Source organism: Homo sapiens, chromosome 1 (assembly GCF_000001405.40).
Source record: "Homo sapiens chromosome 1, GRCh38.p14 Primary Assembly".
Classification (NCBI taxonomy): domain Eukaryota; kingdom Metazoa; phylum Chordata; class Mammalia; order Primates; family Hominidae; genus Homo; species Homo sapiens.
Window position 1 is genome coordinate 177,928,555 of NC_000001.11, and position 12,611 is coordinate 177,941,165.

The following is a 12,611-nucleotide window of genomic DNA, read 5'->3' on the forward strand; positions in this document are numbered from 1 at the left end:
AGTGACTGACTTGCATCAGAGGAGCTTTTTGTTCATATTTTTTAAATTGGAAAAATAATAAAATTAGAGTAGACTTAGAAGTTAAGAGGATCTGTCCCTAGATTCCTCATTAACAAAGGGCTCTTTCCAGCTATTCACACTTGATCACACAATAAAACCATTATTAGAAAGACTTCAGGGAAGAGACCACCAATGTACTTTCTTCCTCTGTAAAAATCAGCCAGAGACAAGCATTTGCTATAAAATTATCTGGGTTTAATTATTATCAATATCAGAACTATAGAACATTAACGTACTAAACCTGTATTTACAATTACATGTACAAAAAAAAATGTTCTTTGTGAGGAGCAATTTTCAGCAAATCTGACAAACAGCAAGAGTCATTCCTATTTTGGGTTTGAAAAGAGAAATGGAAATTTCCAAGACGCCCCCCTCCTCCCTCTCACTCCAGTGACCCTCTGAACATCAATTTGCAAAGGCCTGAGGTAGAAAGGGAGGTATTAACAATATCAGGCACTCATTCTTCCCCTCTTATGAAAGGGATGAATTTTTAGGAACCGTTTTCCATCATTTATTATACTGATGTGCCATCCATCTGCATCATTAGGTTCAGTAGTTACCATGACAATATGATGCCTACAGCAATCTAACTTGATAGCCACATGCCAGAATGTGAAAAAATAGGACCAGCTAAGAAAGTGAGAGAAATATAATTAATCTGAACCACATTCAAAAAAATGTGCACAAAACTAGGACCAAGAGGGAAACTGCTGAAATATCATTGAAGAGGAAATTATAAAGGGCAGCAATAATCAAGTTTCAGTATAAAAACTTTGCTAAATAGAGCCATGTATTGGTCTATTACTAAGACAGGAAGTAGTCAAAGTTGGTCTAGAATATTGTTCTGAGCCCCTGCCCCTCCCCCTGCTTCCCATTTCTTGCTACAGGGCCCTGCGGTATCATCTTTGATTCTAGCTGTTAGGGCCCTAATTTCCCCAAGGCTCTCAAGCCACCACCATAAGTGCCACCACCATGTCACTCTGCTCATGTGCAGTCTGCTATTAGACCCAGACTTTCCACCTGATGAAATAATTTCCATCATTGTGAAGCTAATCTTAAGAGACTGAATTGTGCTGTGTCTTGAGAGATCCTGTCCTCTTGCCTTCTAAGTGCCCGGTGGAGGCATCGGGCTAGCACAAACCTCTTGAGGGTCCCAATATGGTAGAGAGGGGCTGGGAGATTGAGAAAAAGAGAGCAAGAAAGTTTCAGTCCTGGGAGATGAGCCTGGGACGTGTGTTTATTCTCAGCATGGCTGGGTGGGATAGCGACGCTGAGCTAGGCGATTTGGCCGATTCAGGCTAGTGGCCGTGGGCAGCTGGAAAAGAAGAACAAATATTACACTGAGTACAGCCCCAAACATGACTCTGCCCGGGGTTGATTGGACAGATGGAGCTAGGGCACCCTGAGCCTCTGTGTAGAACATTTCCCAAGGTTGTGTTCTAATTGCGTACCTCCACCCAACCCTTCACCTAACTGTGGTAAAAGAAATTTGATTTTTATAAAGAGAGGAGGCCAAATGAGACATTAGCAGAGCTAAGTCTACCCAGATTGCTGAGGAACAGGGAACTTAGCTTCTCTCAAAGTTTCCAATGATCCCTTCATCCCCAGGACAGAGTGACACTGCACCCACACTACTGATACCAACACCAACTGTGTCTCCCACATCTCAAGAGCTATTAAAATTTAAACATGATATTAATAGTAACTACATTTATTGACCATTTTCTGGGTTCCAGGCCCTTCATATACATATCTCTGAGCTAGCTACTACTAATCCCACTTTACAGATGCAGAAACTGAGACTTGGAGAGGCTAAATAATTGCTCAAGAACTCACATATCATAAATGGTAAACTGGGATGATAAACCTAGGTCTCCTTAATCCAAAACCTGTACTCCTGGCCAGCCCCTCCCCCTGAGGGCTTCCTTACCTGAGGCACCTGAGATGGGTTGTAAAGAGGAACAGCCCCTTTTAAGGCAGGTGGAGGAAGAAGAACACCAGGGTTGGAGCAGAGCTCAAAGGAAACACTCTGTGATGGAAAAGCATGGAAAATCCCATCAGTGCCTGCCTCCCAGATTCCAGAATGTCGAGGCCTTCAAGAAGCATATCAGGATTATTTGTTTTTTTCTCAGTGATTTCTTTAAGTTCCTTATCGACTCTCCAAAGGACATGAATATGCATTTCTCAAAAGAAGAAATGGCCAATAAACAAATGAAAAAAATGTTCAACATCAATAATCATCAGGGAAATGCAAATTAAAGCCACAATGAGATACCATCTTACTCCTGCAAAAATGACCATAACTAAAATGTCAAAAAATAATAGATGTTGGCAAAAGGGGACACTTATACACCGCTGGTGGGAATGTAAATTAGTACAACCTCTATGAAAAACAGTATGAAGATTCCTTAAAGAGCTAAAAGTAGAACTACCATTTGATCCAGCAATCCCACTACTGGGTATCGGCCCAAAAGGAAAGAAGTCATTACTTGAAAAATACACTTGCACAAGTATGTTTATAGCAGCACAATTCACAATTGCAAAACGTGGAACCAACCTAAGTGCCCATCGACTAATGAGTACATAAAGAAAATGCGGTATACGTATACGATGGAATACACTCAGCCATTAAAATGAACAAAATAATGTCTTTTGCAGCAACTTGGATGAAGCCGGAGTCCATTATTCTAAGTGAAGTACACAGGAGTGGAAAACCGAAAACCATATGTTCTCACTTATAAGTGGGGAGCTATGAGTATGTGAAGACACACAGAGTGACATAATGGACTTTAGAGATTCAGAAGAGGAAGGGTGGGAGGAGGGTCAGGGATAAAAAAAACTACATATTAGGTACAACCCACATCCACGCCAACACTACTTGGCTGGTGGGTGCACTAAAATGTCAGAATTCACCACTATATAATTCATCTATTAACCAAAAACCACTTGTGCCCCAAAAGCTACTGAAATGTTTTCAAAGAGAACCATATCAGAAGGGTTTCTTAATAGAACTCAGGGAATCTCAAGCAAGCAAACATGGTTCAAGTGGAAACAACCAACCCCTGGGTCTGGAGTGGCAATACTGACAAGAAGAAAAAGCCTCAATAAATTATATTGATACCATCATAAAAAGTAATATAGCCTTCAAAAGGCCTAAAACTCTACAAGAGTTATCTAACCAGACTTAAAGAAATAAAAATGTTTTCCTAGCAATAGATATGAAATCCATACTGATGTGGACAACTCATCAAGAATTTGTCACAGCCCTGGCCAAGGTCTCCAGTGAACTCCACCTCCTCCTGGGACAGGGAAAAAGGCAAGTCCCCAGGCTTCCCCCGAGGAAGCTGTTATAGGTTGAACTGTGTTCCCAGAAAAAAAAAAAATCACGTGTTGAAGCCCTAACCCCCAGTACCTCAGAAAACATATGTTTGGAGAAACATAAAAATACAACATTTGGAGATGGGGTCTTTAAAGAGGCAATTAACATAAATGGAGGTCATATTGGTAGCCCATTCCAGTATGACTGATGTCCCTATAAGAGGAAGAAATCTGAACACAGACACGCTCAGAGGAAAGGCCATGTGAAGACGTGGAAAGAAGATGGCCGGGCACAAGCCAAGGAAAGAGGTCTCAAAAGACACAACCCTGCTGAAACCTGGACCTCAGCTTTCAGCCTGGAGAACTGTGAGAAATTCGGTTTCTGTGGTCTGAGCCTCTGTTCTGTGGTACTTTGTTATGACAGCCTGAGCAAACTAACACAGCAGAGAAGCATTCTTCAGGTTCGCCAGGAGTCAGCACTGCCCACACTGAAGGTTCAGTCCTCACACACAGGCATCTGCTGGGGTCCGAGGCTCCAGCCCAGGGGGGCCGCTTACCTCTGGTCCAGACAAGCCTCCAACCCCAGCGCCCGCAGCTGCTCCCCCGCTGGATGCGGATCCTCGGCCTTCACCCCCACCTGGAAAGTAATGAGGCAGAGCTGTTTCCTCTGCTCAGGACTGGGGGTCCCCACTCCCAGAAGGCACCCCAACCCTTGGGAGTGCTGAGGGGACCACCCATGGCCCAGAGGACGTGAGGTGACGGTACCTCTGCCCCTGGAGAAGGCACTAACATCCGGCAGAGGTGGGGACTCAGGGGAAGGTGTCAGTGAGAGGCCCAGGCCAGCCTGGTGGGGAGAAGATGCTCTGGGGGTCTCCTGCTTTGTGGAGAAAGAAAGGCAGCATTGGCAACATTGGCAGTTAACAAATTGATGCCCGCCAATTTGTGTTCCCACACTCACGATGGCGGCCTTGCCACAAACTGCTGCTGGGCACTCCCCAAAACCCCCCTCCTCATCCCACTCTTCTGCTCAACAATCCACACTAGCTCCCTACTGCTGACCCTCTAAAGTTACATTTCTTCATCCAAACTTTTTAAAGCTTTTTTAATCTGCCTTTGCCCTCACAGGACCCATTCATTTCCCACCATATCCCATCACAAAACCTCTGTCTCATGTGGCCTGGGGTAGACTCAGGTGCCAGCTCTGAGAGCTCCTAGGTGCTGAGGCAGCTCCCTCTGAAAGACCCACAGAGAGGGGCATCCTCCCCCTCCCACAGAGCCTACCTCAGAGTCAGGGCTGTCTGAGGAGTCCTCGTCTCCAGCGGGGGATGCGTTCTTGGTGGGCTTCGATCGAAACCAGCTGAACCAGCCAAACCCTGAGCTCTGGAAGGGGAAGAGGACATTTTATGACCTGCAGGTTGGCTTCTTCCCCAACTATGAGGTTAACCCGCCCCCATGTAACCATCAGAGCCCAGACTTCCAAGTCTGCACCACCCTCGAGGAAGGGAATGGCAGGGGAAGGAAGGCAGGGGAGAGAAGAACAAGTCCCTCCACCTTTGTATGCTCCTTCCCATCTCCGAGCTTGCCTCTCTGGGCAGTATTTCGGGGAGAGTTTTTATCAGCCTCATCAGAGGACTCCTTCTCATCCTCCTTGGCTGAACTGGCGGAACTCTCAGAAATACTTCGTGGTCTAGCAGCCAATGGTGTCTGGAATTAAAGAAATAACTCACATTTGCATGGCACTTGACAGGTTACCAAACACATTTGCACATACTCCCTCACCTGACCTGCTCAGAAGGCAGTGGGACTGTTGTCTCAGGATCATATTGTACTGAAGAGGAAGGAAGGCTCAGCCATGAAAAATGACTCACTGAAGGTCGCAGGATAAGGACAGAGCCCAAGCCCATGTTATCCCTAATTCTACAGACCTTTGTCTGGTGTGCCACCTCTCCAGAAACAGACAGTTTTCAGAACTATGCCAAGGCCTGGAGTAGGGGGTATGGACTGCTACTGCTGGAGATGAAGAGGGCCAGAAAACAACCCACAGAGGCCCACAAGCTCCCCCCAAAAAAAAAAAAACAGAGAATGTAGCAACCACCAAACATAACTCATCTTAGAGCTCATTTCCTAACAGACTTGCTCAAGCTCAACTGTGAACATATGCACCAAAGGGGGGTAAAATACACCCACATCCCTTTACATTAACTTTTTTTTTTTTTGTGGTAAGATAGATACAGGATAAAGCTTGCCATTTTAACTATTTTTAAATGTACAATTCAGTGGCAGTAAGTATACACACAGTGTCGTACAACCATCACCACTAGCCATCTCCAGAACTTTTTCATCATCCCCATTACCTAACTCCCCATCTCCCCTTCCCCCAGGCCCTGGTCACTGCCATTCCACTTTATGTCTCTGAATTTGCCTATTCTATGTATCTCACGTAGGTGGAGTCATATGACATATTGCCCTCTTCTGTTATATTTACATTTTTTACTCTCAATAGAGCACAATTGATACAAACCTTTGGAAATACTTTAGGAAAATAAAGAAAAAAACTTTATTTTTTATTCAAATGAATATAGTGTTGACTTTGTGCCGGGCACTGTTTTAAGGGCTTTATATGTAGTGATTCATTTAATCCTTACAATAGTCCTGTGAGCTAGGTGCTATTATTATCTCATTTTATATATAAGAAAACTAAGGCACAGAAAGGTTAAGCAACCTGTGTCGGGTCACACAGCTCATAAATGGCACAGCAAAGGTTAAAAGTAGGCTGTCTGGCTTTCCTTCTAGGAATTTCTTCTAAGTGAATGATTCAAGACATAGACAAGGGCTTATATACTAGGATGACCAGCACTGTGTGTTATATATGAGTGAGAAAAGGAAGGAGGAATGGAGGGAGGGAGGGGAAAGGACGCAACACTCACAATGATTAACGACAACATGGGAATGATCCACCAGAATGCGAGCTCCTTACCATGGTCGTGGAGGCCCCATAAGTTTACCTCTGCTGCCCTCCAGCCTTGTTTCTCAGCCCTCCTCCCTACTGCTCCCCACTCTCAGGGCACAGTGGCTCCCTTGCTCTCCCTTAACTACACCAAGGGAGCCACTGCAGGGCCTCCAGTCCTGCTGTTTCTCTGCCTCAAACACCTTTCCCCCAGATATTCACCTGGCTCATTTCCATGCTCCACCCTGATCTCCACTTGAAGGCCTCCTCAGAGACACCTTCCTTGGCCACCCCTCTGAAGTGAGATGCCTGGCGCGTATAGTTGTCTATTTTTAGTCACTTCCACTAGACTTGAGCGCCTGAGGTTAGGCTTGGTCTGATGTGCTGATGCCTCCCCAGCCCCTGTGACAGGGTCTGGCACATTGTAGGAACTCAGTGAATATTTCAAATAAATGAATGAATAGCGCTACTTTCATAAAATCAATTTCGTCATGCCAATATTAAAAATCATATTTATGAATGACATAGAAAAATCTCATAGAGTGTTAAGTAACAGATATGAAATAAAGCTTTGCATACATATGTTCTTAGCCATTTAAAAACATGTATATGTGTATAATGTATATACAGATATACATATATGTGAGTATATGTGTGTATATATAGAAAAATAGTATAAGAAAAGAAAAATATTCTGACTGTTGGATTGAATGATATTTGATTCTTTATATGATACTTCACTATTAGATTTTTCTATAACAATAATGTACCACTTCAGTCAGGAAAAAAAAAAAAACGGAAAAACATTAAAGTTTGTTAAGACCTGTACCCCTGTTTTTCTACTTTAAAAAGTTATAGGATGTAACCCTCCAACCAGGAGAAGCTGAAGAACGCCTCAGGTTTGGGACCAACACTGCCCATTGCTGAGGGCAGGGGTGTGTCCAATCAGAGCTAGATGGAATGATTCACCAGACATGAGGACCTTACAGCCTAACTGAGGAGAAAAGACAGGCAGGCACTGTCACAGCTACCACAGATCTTTCTTTGAAATAAAGCCAGGTAAAAATTAAAACAAGGAAATATCAACAGTCTTCCATGGCAGGACAGGGTAGGGCAAGCGTTTTGTGCAGCACTGAGAAGATGTCAGAGGTAACAGAGATCTGAGAGGCCAAAACGAATCAGCTCAGTTGCTCCCTCTCTCCCCATGGACACAGGTTTGTGGGGCTGAGCGTAAACAAGAACACAGCCTCCCGCCCAGCTCCCAGGAGTTGGAATAGGAAAAGGCAAGGCGAGATGTGGAAGAGAAAGCTGCTGCAACACTGAGGAGGAGCTTGCATGTGGCTGGGAAACCAAGGCAACTGGTAAAAACCAGAAGCATTTGAGTGGGCAGTGGCATCTTTTATGCTGTGCGCTCTCACCTGTGGTTTGGAAATGACCTCTTGGCCATCAGGAGGCTGGGAAGTTTCTTGAGACACTGTGTTCTCTCCTGCATCACAAACAGAAATGGAAATAGCAATTGGAAGTTGTGCTTTTCCCATCTATCCTGAAGAAGGGTAACTGGGACACAATCAGCTTTCTTAACTGCAGCAGAAGCTCGGAGCCCATAAGCCCAAGCCAATCACAGCAAATACAAAGAATGCTCACGTAGCTCATCTCAATCCCAGCCACCCCAGGACATGCTGTTCAACTCATCCTCTACTTCCAAAGCCACTCTTCAGGAATCTTGGAAATCAGAGCAACATCAAGCTAGGTCACAGGGATCCTCCACCACTCCTCTCCATCTGAGCCTCCATCTTGGACAGGACCTAATCCTGGAAGGTCTAAGAGCTAATCATTCTAGATGGCTTCCACCATCTCCCTGGCATCACTCAGCATTGCTTACCCATACTCAGCCCTTGTTGTCGAAGGTCTGATGGGCCTGAAGAAACTCGGGACCAAGACAGAAACATGGGTTTCTGCTGGAGAGCCTGATAGTAAGCTCTTGAGTGCAGGATGATTGGAGAAAGAGAACTTGGCCTATATTTTTCCACCCTGTAATCTCTCTCCTAGAAACTATGTAATCATTTGGATGGCAGGAGTGGCTCCATTTGCCCTGCTGTACCCAGTGGAGAGATGGACTGGGCTGGAAGATAGCAATCTCCTTCAGATGTATGCAAAGCACCAATACAGTGGCTGAAAACTAGCAGGCCCTCCGTAACGGGCACACATCCACGCATCTGTGTCTTTCCCAGCTCCAACCCTACCTCCTCTGACTGGTCCCACCACCTCCCTTTCCTGCTTCCTCCCCACCCAGACCCTACATTCAATGTGGCCACCCTAGCGGCCAGGTCTTACCAGGGCCCAGGTGTGTCTGCAGCATTTCCTCCCAGACTGTTCCTCCAGTGGCCTCTGTCACTGCCACGCTGCTGCCAGTCCCTGGTAGATGGGTCTCAGGAACTGAGTAAAAAGGCCTCGGTGTCCCTGTCTGCCCTGCACCCCCTCCTGCTGGGTAGGAGCCCGGCTGGAGGGGAAAGGGCTGCTGTGGGCTGGGCTGGAGCAGGCAGGTCTGCTCAGGTGTCAGCCACAGAGCTGAGCGGTACCCAGGGGCTTCAGAGTAGCCTTGACATCCAGAAAAGTCCTGGTAGAAAGTGTTTTCTAAGGACGTGGAACAAAGGTAAAGAAGTCAGACCTGAAATGCGGCATTTGCATACTGATCACACCAGAAACATTCCTGCTTATGTCTTCTTTGGAAAGCAGTCACAAGGACGAGCTGTCTAATGCGGCTTCCAGTAACATGATGACAAGTAAAACACAGTGATTGTAACATCCTCATTGCTGTTTACAGAATTTTGTTTGTTTGTTTTTTTCTTCACTAGTGTACCCTAAAAATAAAATCCTAAGCTCCTCCATTGACTTAACAGACTCCCTTTTGGCCAAGGGGACCCCAGAAAAACCTTAAAAACTGAGTTCCCAGCCATGACAGGATGGGAGGTGAGACACCCCTCATTATACCCCCTCTCTTTTGCAGTTTAGACACAACTGACCAGCATTAATGTTAAAACAGAGATCTTAAGACTAACAGAAAAGACTCTTGGTGGCCATAAGATACCAAACTATACACAGAACCTAAAGCCCTGCCAGGCAATGGTTAAGTCCCGCACCCCTACACCTTAAGAAAAAACTGCGTTCTCACGGCCACAAGGTTTTTTTTCTCTGGCAGCTCAACAAGCACTGGCCTCAAGATGAGCAATGTTAGAACAATTACAACTCATTCCATTCACAAATGCTGACTAAATGAGCCTCCGTTCCATCAGCCATGACCACAGCTTTGATTGGACAAGACTGATATCAGTAACTTTCTCCAGATAAGAAGACCACCAACCATGAACTGGGTCTGGCCAGTTTACAGAGGCTCCCCACTTCAGTGCTTCTGTGTCCCGAAAAGATCTTTTGACGCATAGGGCCTAACTGTAATACACTTAAAGGATAAGTCTCCACCCCAAGGTGAACATGGGTCATGTGTTACACGCACATTAGTTCATTATCCATGTGTGAGGACCTCCTTTGTGAACAGTCACAGCTCCTCCTATAACCTGTTAAATATGTATGTTTGATCAACCCATTCAACTTAAATTCTTGTCTTACCTCTCCTTCCCTCAAAGTGCCTGGCTATACTTCCCAGCCTGCGGGATGGCCACCTTGCAGGATGGAACCCTTTGTAAGAAATAAAGTCTCCTTTCCAAATGTACACATTGTATGACTTTTTTTTTAAGTTAACACTGCCTTGTATGATCCCTGAGCCTCTAGCCAGTGGGTTGGGAGGGCTGAAATTACCATCCTATCTAACTCCACACCTTTTTATTTTTTGATAAATTATTTCTTCTTTAAGGACTTCCTGATGGACATGGGTATTTAAAACTTAGAAAGCTTCCAGCTAAAAACCCAAATCAGACCACAGAAATCATGGCTCTGTTCTTAAGGAATCAGAGTACATTTGCCCTGGAAAAGACCTGACTGGTAACATAAACTAAGGTGTGGACCTATAACAAGATTGGTCACAGGACTGGCATGGGTGGCCAACCCGCCTGCTCCACTGGGCACCAAGGCATCAGGAGGCAGGGCTGTGGGGAAGCACAATCCACAGGCACCCAGCCGGGCTCTCCTCCACCCCCCACCTTTACAGATCCTGCTACACAGTGAGAAACAGAAGCCAAGGCCTGCCCTGCCCACCCTTCCCTTTGCTCACGCCTGAGGAAGGACACAGGGCTGGGAAGAGACGGGGGCCCTTTCCCGGCCCTACTGCAGGGGGAACTTGGGGAAAGGGTACACAGTTAACCAGGGATATGGTGCCTGCCAACACACCATTGGGAATCATCCCAAGGGAAGAGTGGAGATGCCATGAAAACATTGAAACATACTTATTCCACAATCATCTGGCAATCACTAGCTCAAAACTCTTAAGGACTTCTGACATCCCCAGCACTCACATAAGATACAGATGAACCACAATCTCTGGACTCAAGAAATGTATCCAGCTGGAGAGAAGTTATTAACATAGGAGAAAGAATTGGCTAACAATACAGTGCAACACAAAAAACACTCAGATATTTAAAAACCTGAATCATGAAGCAGAAGCTCAGACTGAGGGAACTTAGAAGTGTTAGGGATGTGTGAGGCTGGCAGGAGCTGGGTGGAGAAGGCGCCTGGACAACGGGGCGGACTTACACAGGCAAGGCAGGCACCCTGGGAAGCAAAGGGCGAGTGCTTTCATAAATTACTTTGTCTCGTAGAATCAGATCCTGAGCGTCAGCTATGTATATGCTCAGTTCATCATTTTGGGTACCTGTTGTTGTTCCTCCGGCTCCCGAAATATCTGAGCGAGTAGGATGAGGATCCCCAATGTCTCCTGCTACCTTTTGCTATTTAAAATAAAGTAAAATTCCTTTTAAGCAGCACAAAGGAAAAACAAGAACAGAGAAACAAAGTGATTCAAAACTTAAGCCAAAAAGAAACTTCCAGTGGGAAAGACAAGGTAAGGGAAATGCTTGTATGCTTAGGGGCCTGGGGGGTCACGTGGACAGGGCTCCCAGCTCTGCTCAGAGCAGGCAGAGATGGCTGGAGACCAGAGTCATCCACCCTCCCCTGAAGGAAGGAGCGCATGGAAAGAACTAAACTGTAGGCCTCAGCACGTGCAGCAGATAGAAGGGGTAGAGGCTGTGTGTGCTTTAAAAAATCCACCCTGTCTTTTCTTCAGAGCAGAATGGGAAAAAGAAAATGGAGGAGGCCCTGTTCCAATTACTGTTCCAATTACAACCAGCAGCTTTTGCAATTGTCAGAACAAAAAGGAAAAGGCCCGGAAGTCTTTTAAGCAATTGCCCCACATTACATGAAAGTGACACTGGTCCACTGTGATCCATTGTTCCTAGCGGAGATGGGGAAGCTTTGATGGTCATGAAACATATTCTCTGGGGCCTCAGGGAAGGATGGCAAGAGTGACTGGGAAGAGCACCCCACCGTGTCACATGCGAACATAGGAAAACGCTTCCACACAGGGGACAAGCAGTGGCAGGGAAGCTGAGTCCCACCCCTTGCGCAGACACCAACTGTGCCTCATGGGTGATGGGAGAGACCAGGGTGAGGCATGGGGACCAGGGACTTGCTAATGTCAGTGCCTACCTGTTCCATGTCTAGGGGTGGGAAGAGGGAAACAAAGGCCAGTCCCCCCAACGCCCTGGCTCCAATCCCACTCACCTCCAGCTGCCTCCGAAGTTGCGCTAGCCAATCTGGCTCCAGGTCCCTGTCTCCACTGCGTCTTTCTAAAACCAGAGGATCTGACAGCTTCAGTTTCTCTGCTAGCTGTGCCAGGTTTCCAGATGGGTTAGGGGCAGAAAGTAAGAGAGGAGAGGAGAGAGAGGGAAGAGAAATGGAAAGACAACGGGGAAGAGAAAACAAGGAAAAAGGAGAAAGAGAGCCTTAACTAACTTGTAAATTACATTATAAAAAATAATCGAAAAACAGCAAATTCAGCAGATATCCTCCCAAAATTGCAACATAAATAAACAACCCGTCTTGGGTGCTAGATTCTAAATAAAATATGAGGAGAAACAGTTACTCAGCTTCATTTCTCTGCAAAGCTGTCTGCTCTGTAACAGTGTTTCTCAAACTTAGGGTATACATAGGAATTTTGTTAAAATTCTAATTGTAAACTTGTTAAAATGCTAATTCTGATTCCATACGTCTGGGCAGGGCCTAAGAGTCTGCACTTTTAACCAGCTCCCAGGTGATGCTAATGTTACTTTGTATTTCA

General features: G+C 45.7%; 2 protein-coding genes across 6 annotated transcripts in view, besides 1 other annotated feature; both read right to left on the bottom strand.

The window, feature by feature from the left end:
• Window positions 1-233: 233 nt before the first annotated feature.
• Window positions 234-12,611, bottom strand: part of CRYZL2P-SEC16B (CRYZL2P-SEC16B readthrough) — a 109,189-nt gene continuing 96,811 nt past the window's right edge. For both annotated transcript variants that reach the window (NM_001356506.2, NM_001356505.2), the window contains 10 exons: window positions 12,056-12,160; window positions 11,148-11,223; window positions 8,660-8,959; window positions 7,744-7,811; window positions 4,930-5,082; window positions 4,660-4,758; window positions 4,144-4,255; window positions 3,936-4,015; window positions 1,991-2,089; window positions 234-1,375 (listed from right to left, as the gene is read on the bottom strand). In NM_001356506.2, coding sequence (NP_001343435.1) covers window positions 1,304-1,375; window positions 1,991-2,089; window positions 3,936-4,015; window positions 4,144-4,255; window positions 4,660-4,758; window positions 4,930-5,082; window positions 7,744-7,811; window positions 8,660-8,959; window positions 11,148-11,223; window positions 12,056-12,160 — 1,164 coding nt within the window. In that variant the 3' untranslated portion in view covers window positions 234-1,303. The remainder of the gene's footprint in view (window positions 1,376-1,990; window positions 2,090-3,935; window positions 4,016-4,143; window positions 4,256-4,659; window positions 4,759-4,929; window positions 5,083-7,743; window positions 7,812-8,659; window positions 8,960-11,147; window positions 11,224-12,055; window positions 12,161-12,611) is intronic.
• Window positions 234-12,611, bottom strand: part of SEC16B (SEC16 homolog B, endoplasmic reticulum export factor) — a 55,497-nt gene continuing 43,119 nt past the window's right edge. For 2 of the 4 annotated variants that reach the window (NM_001390835.1, NM_001390834.1), the window contains exons 17-26: window positions 12,056-12,160; window positions 11,148-11,223; window positions 8,660-8,959; window positions 7,744-7,811; window positions 4,930-5,082; window positions 4,660-4,758; window positions 4,144-4,255; window positions 3,936-4,015; window positions 1,991-2,089; window positions 234-1,375 (exon numbers count right to left, since the gene is read on the bottom strand). In NM_001390835.1, the coding sequence (NP_001377764.1) occupies window positions 1,304-1,375; window positions 1,991-2,089; window positions 3,936-4,015; window positions 4,144-4,255; window positions 4,660-4,758; window positions 4,930-5,082; window positions 7,744-7,811; window positions 8,660-8,959; window positions 11,148-11,223; window positions 12,056-12,160 (1,164 nt within the window). In that variant the 3' untranslated portion in view covers window positions 234-1,303. The remainder of the gene's footprint in view (window positions 1,376-1,990; window positions 2,090-3,935; window positions 4,016-4,143; window positions 4,256-4,659; window positions 4,759-4,929; window positions 5,083-7,743; window positions 7,812-8,659; window positions 8,960-11,147; window positions 11,224-12,055; window positions 12,161-12,611) is intronic. The other 2 variants (NM_001390833.1, NM_033127.4) reach the window with 1 other exon arrangement.
• Window positions 8,286-8,787: an enhancer, noted in NCBI's record as "H3K4me1 hESC enhancer chr1:177905975-177906476 (GRCh37/hg19 assembly coordinates)". NCBI's record gives its function as "activates a minimal SCP1, AML or CMV promoter by ChIP-STARR-seq in naive H9 embryonic stem cells {active_cell/tissue: H9 hESC(naive)}" and the evidence as "EXISTENCE:reporter gene assay evidence [ECO:0000049][PMID:30033119]".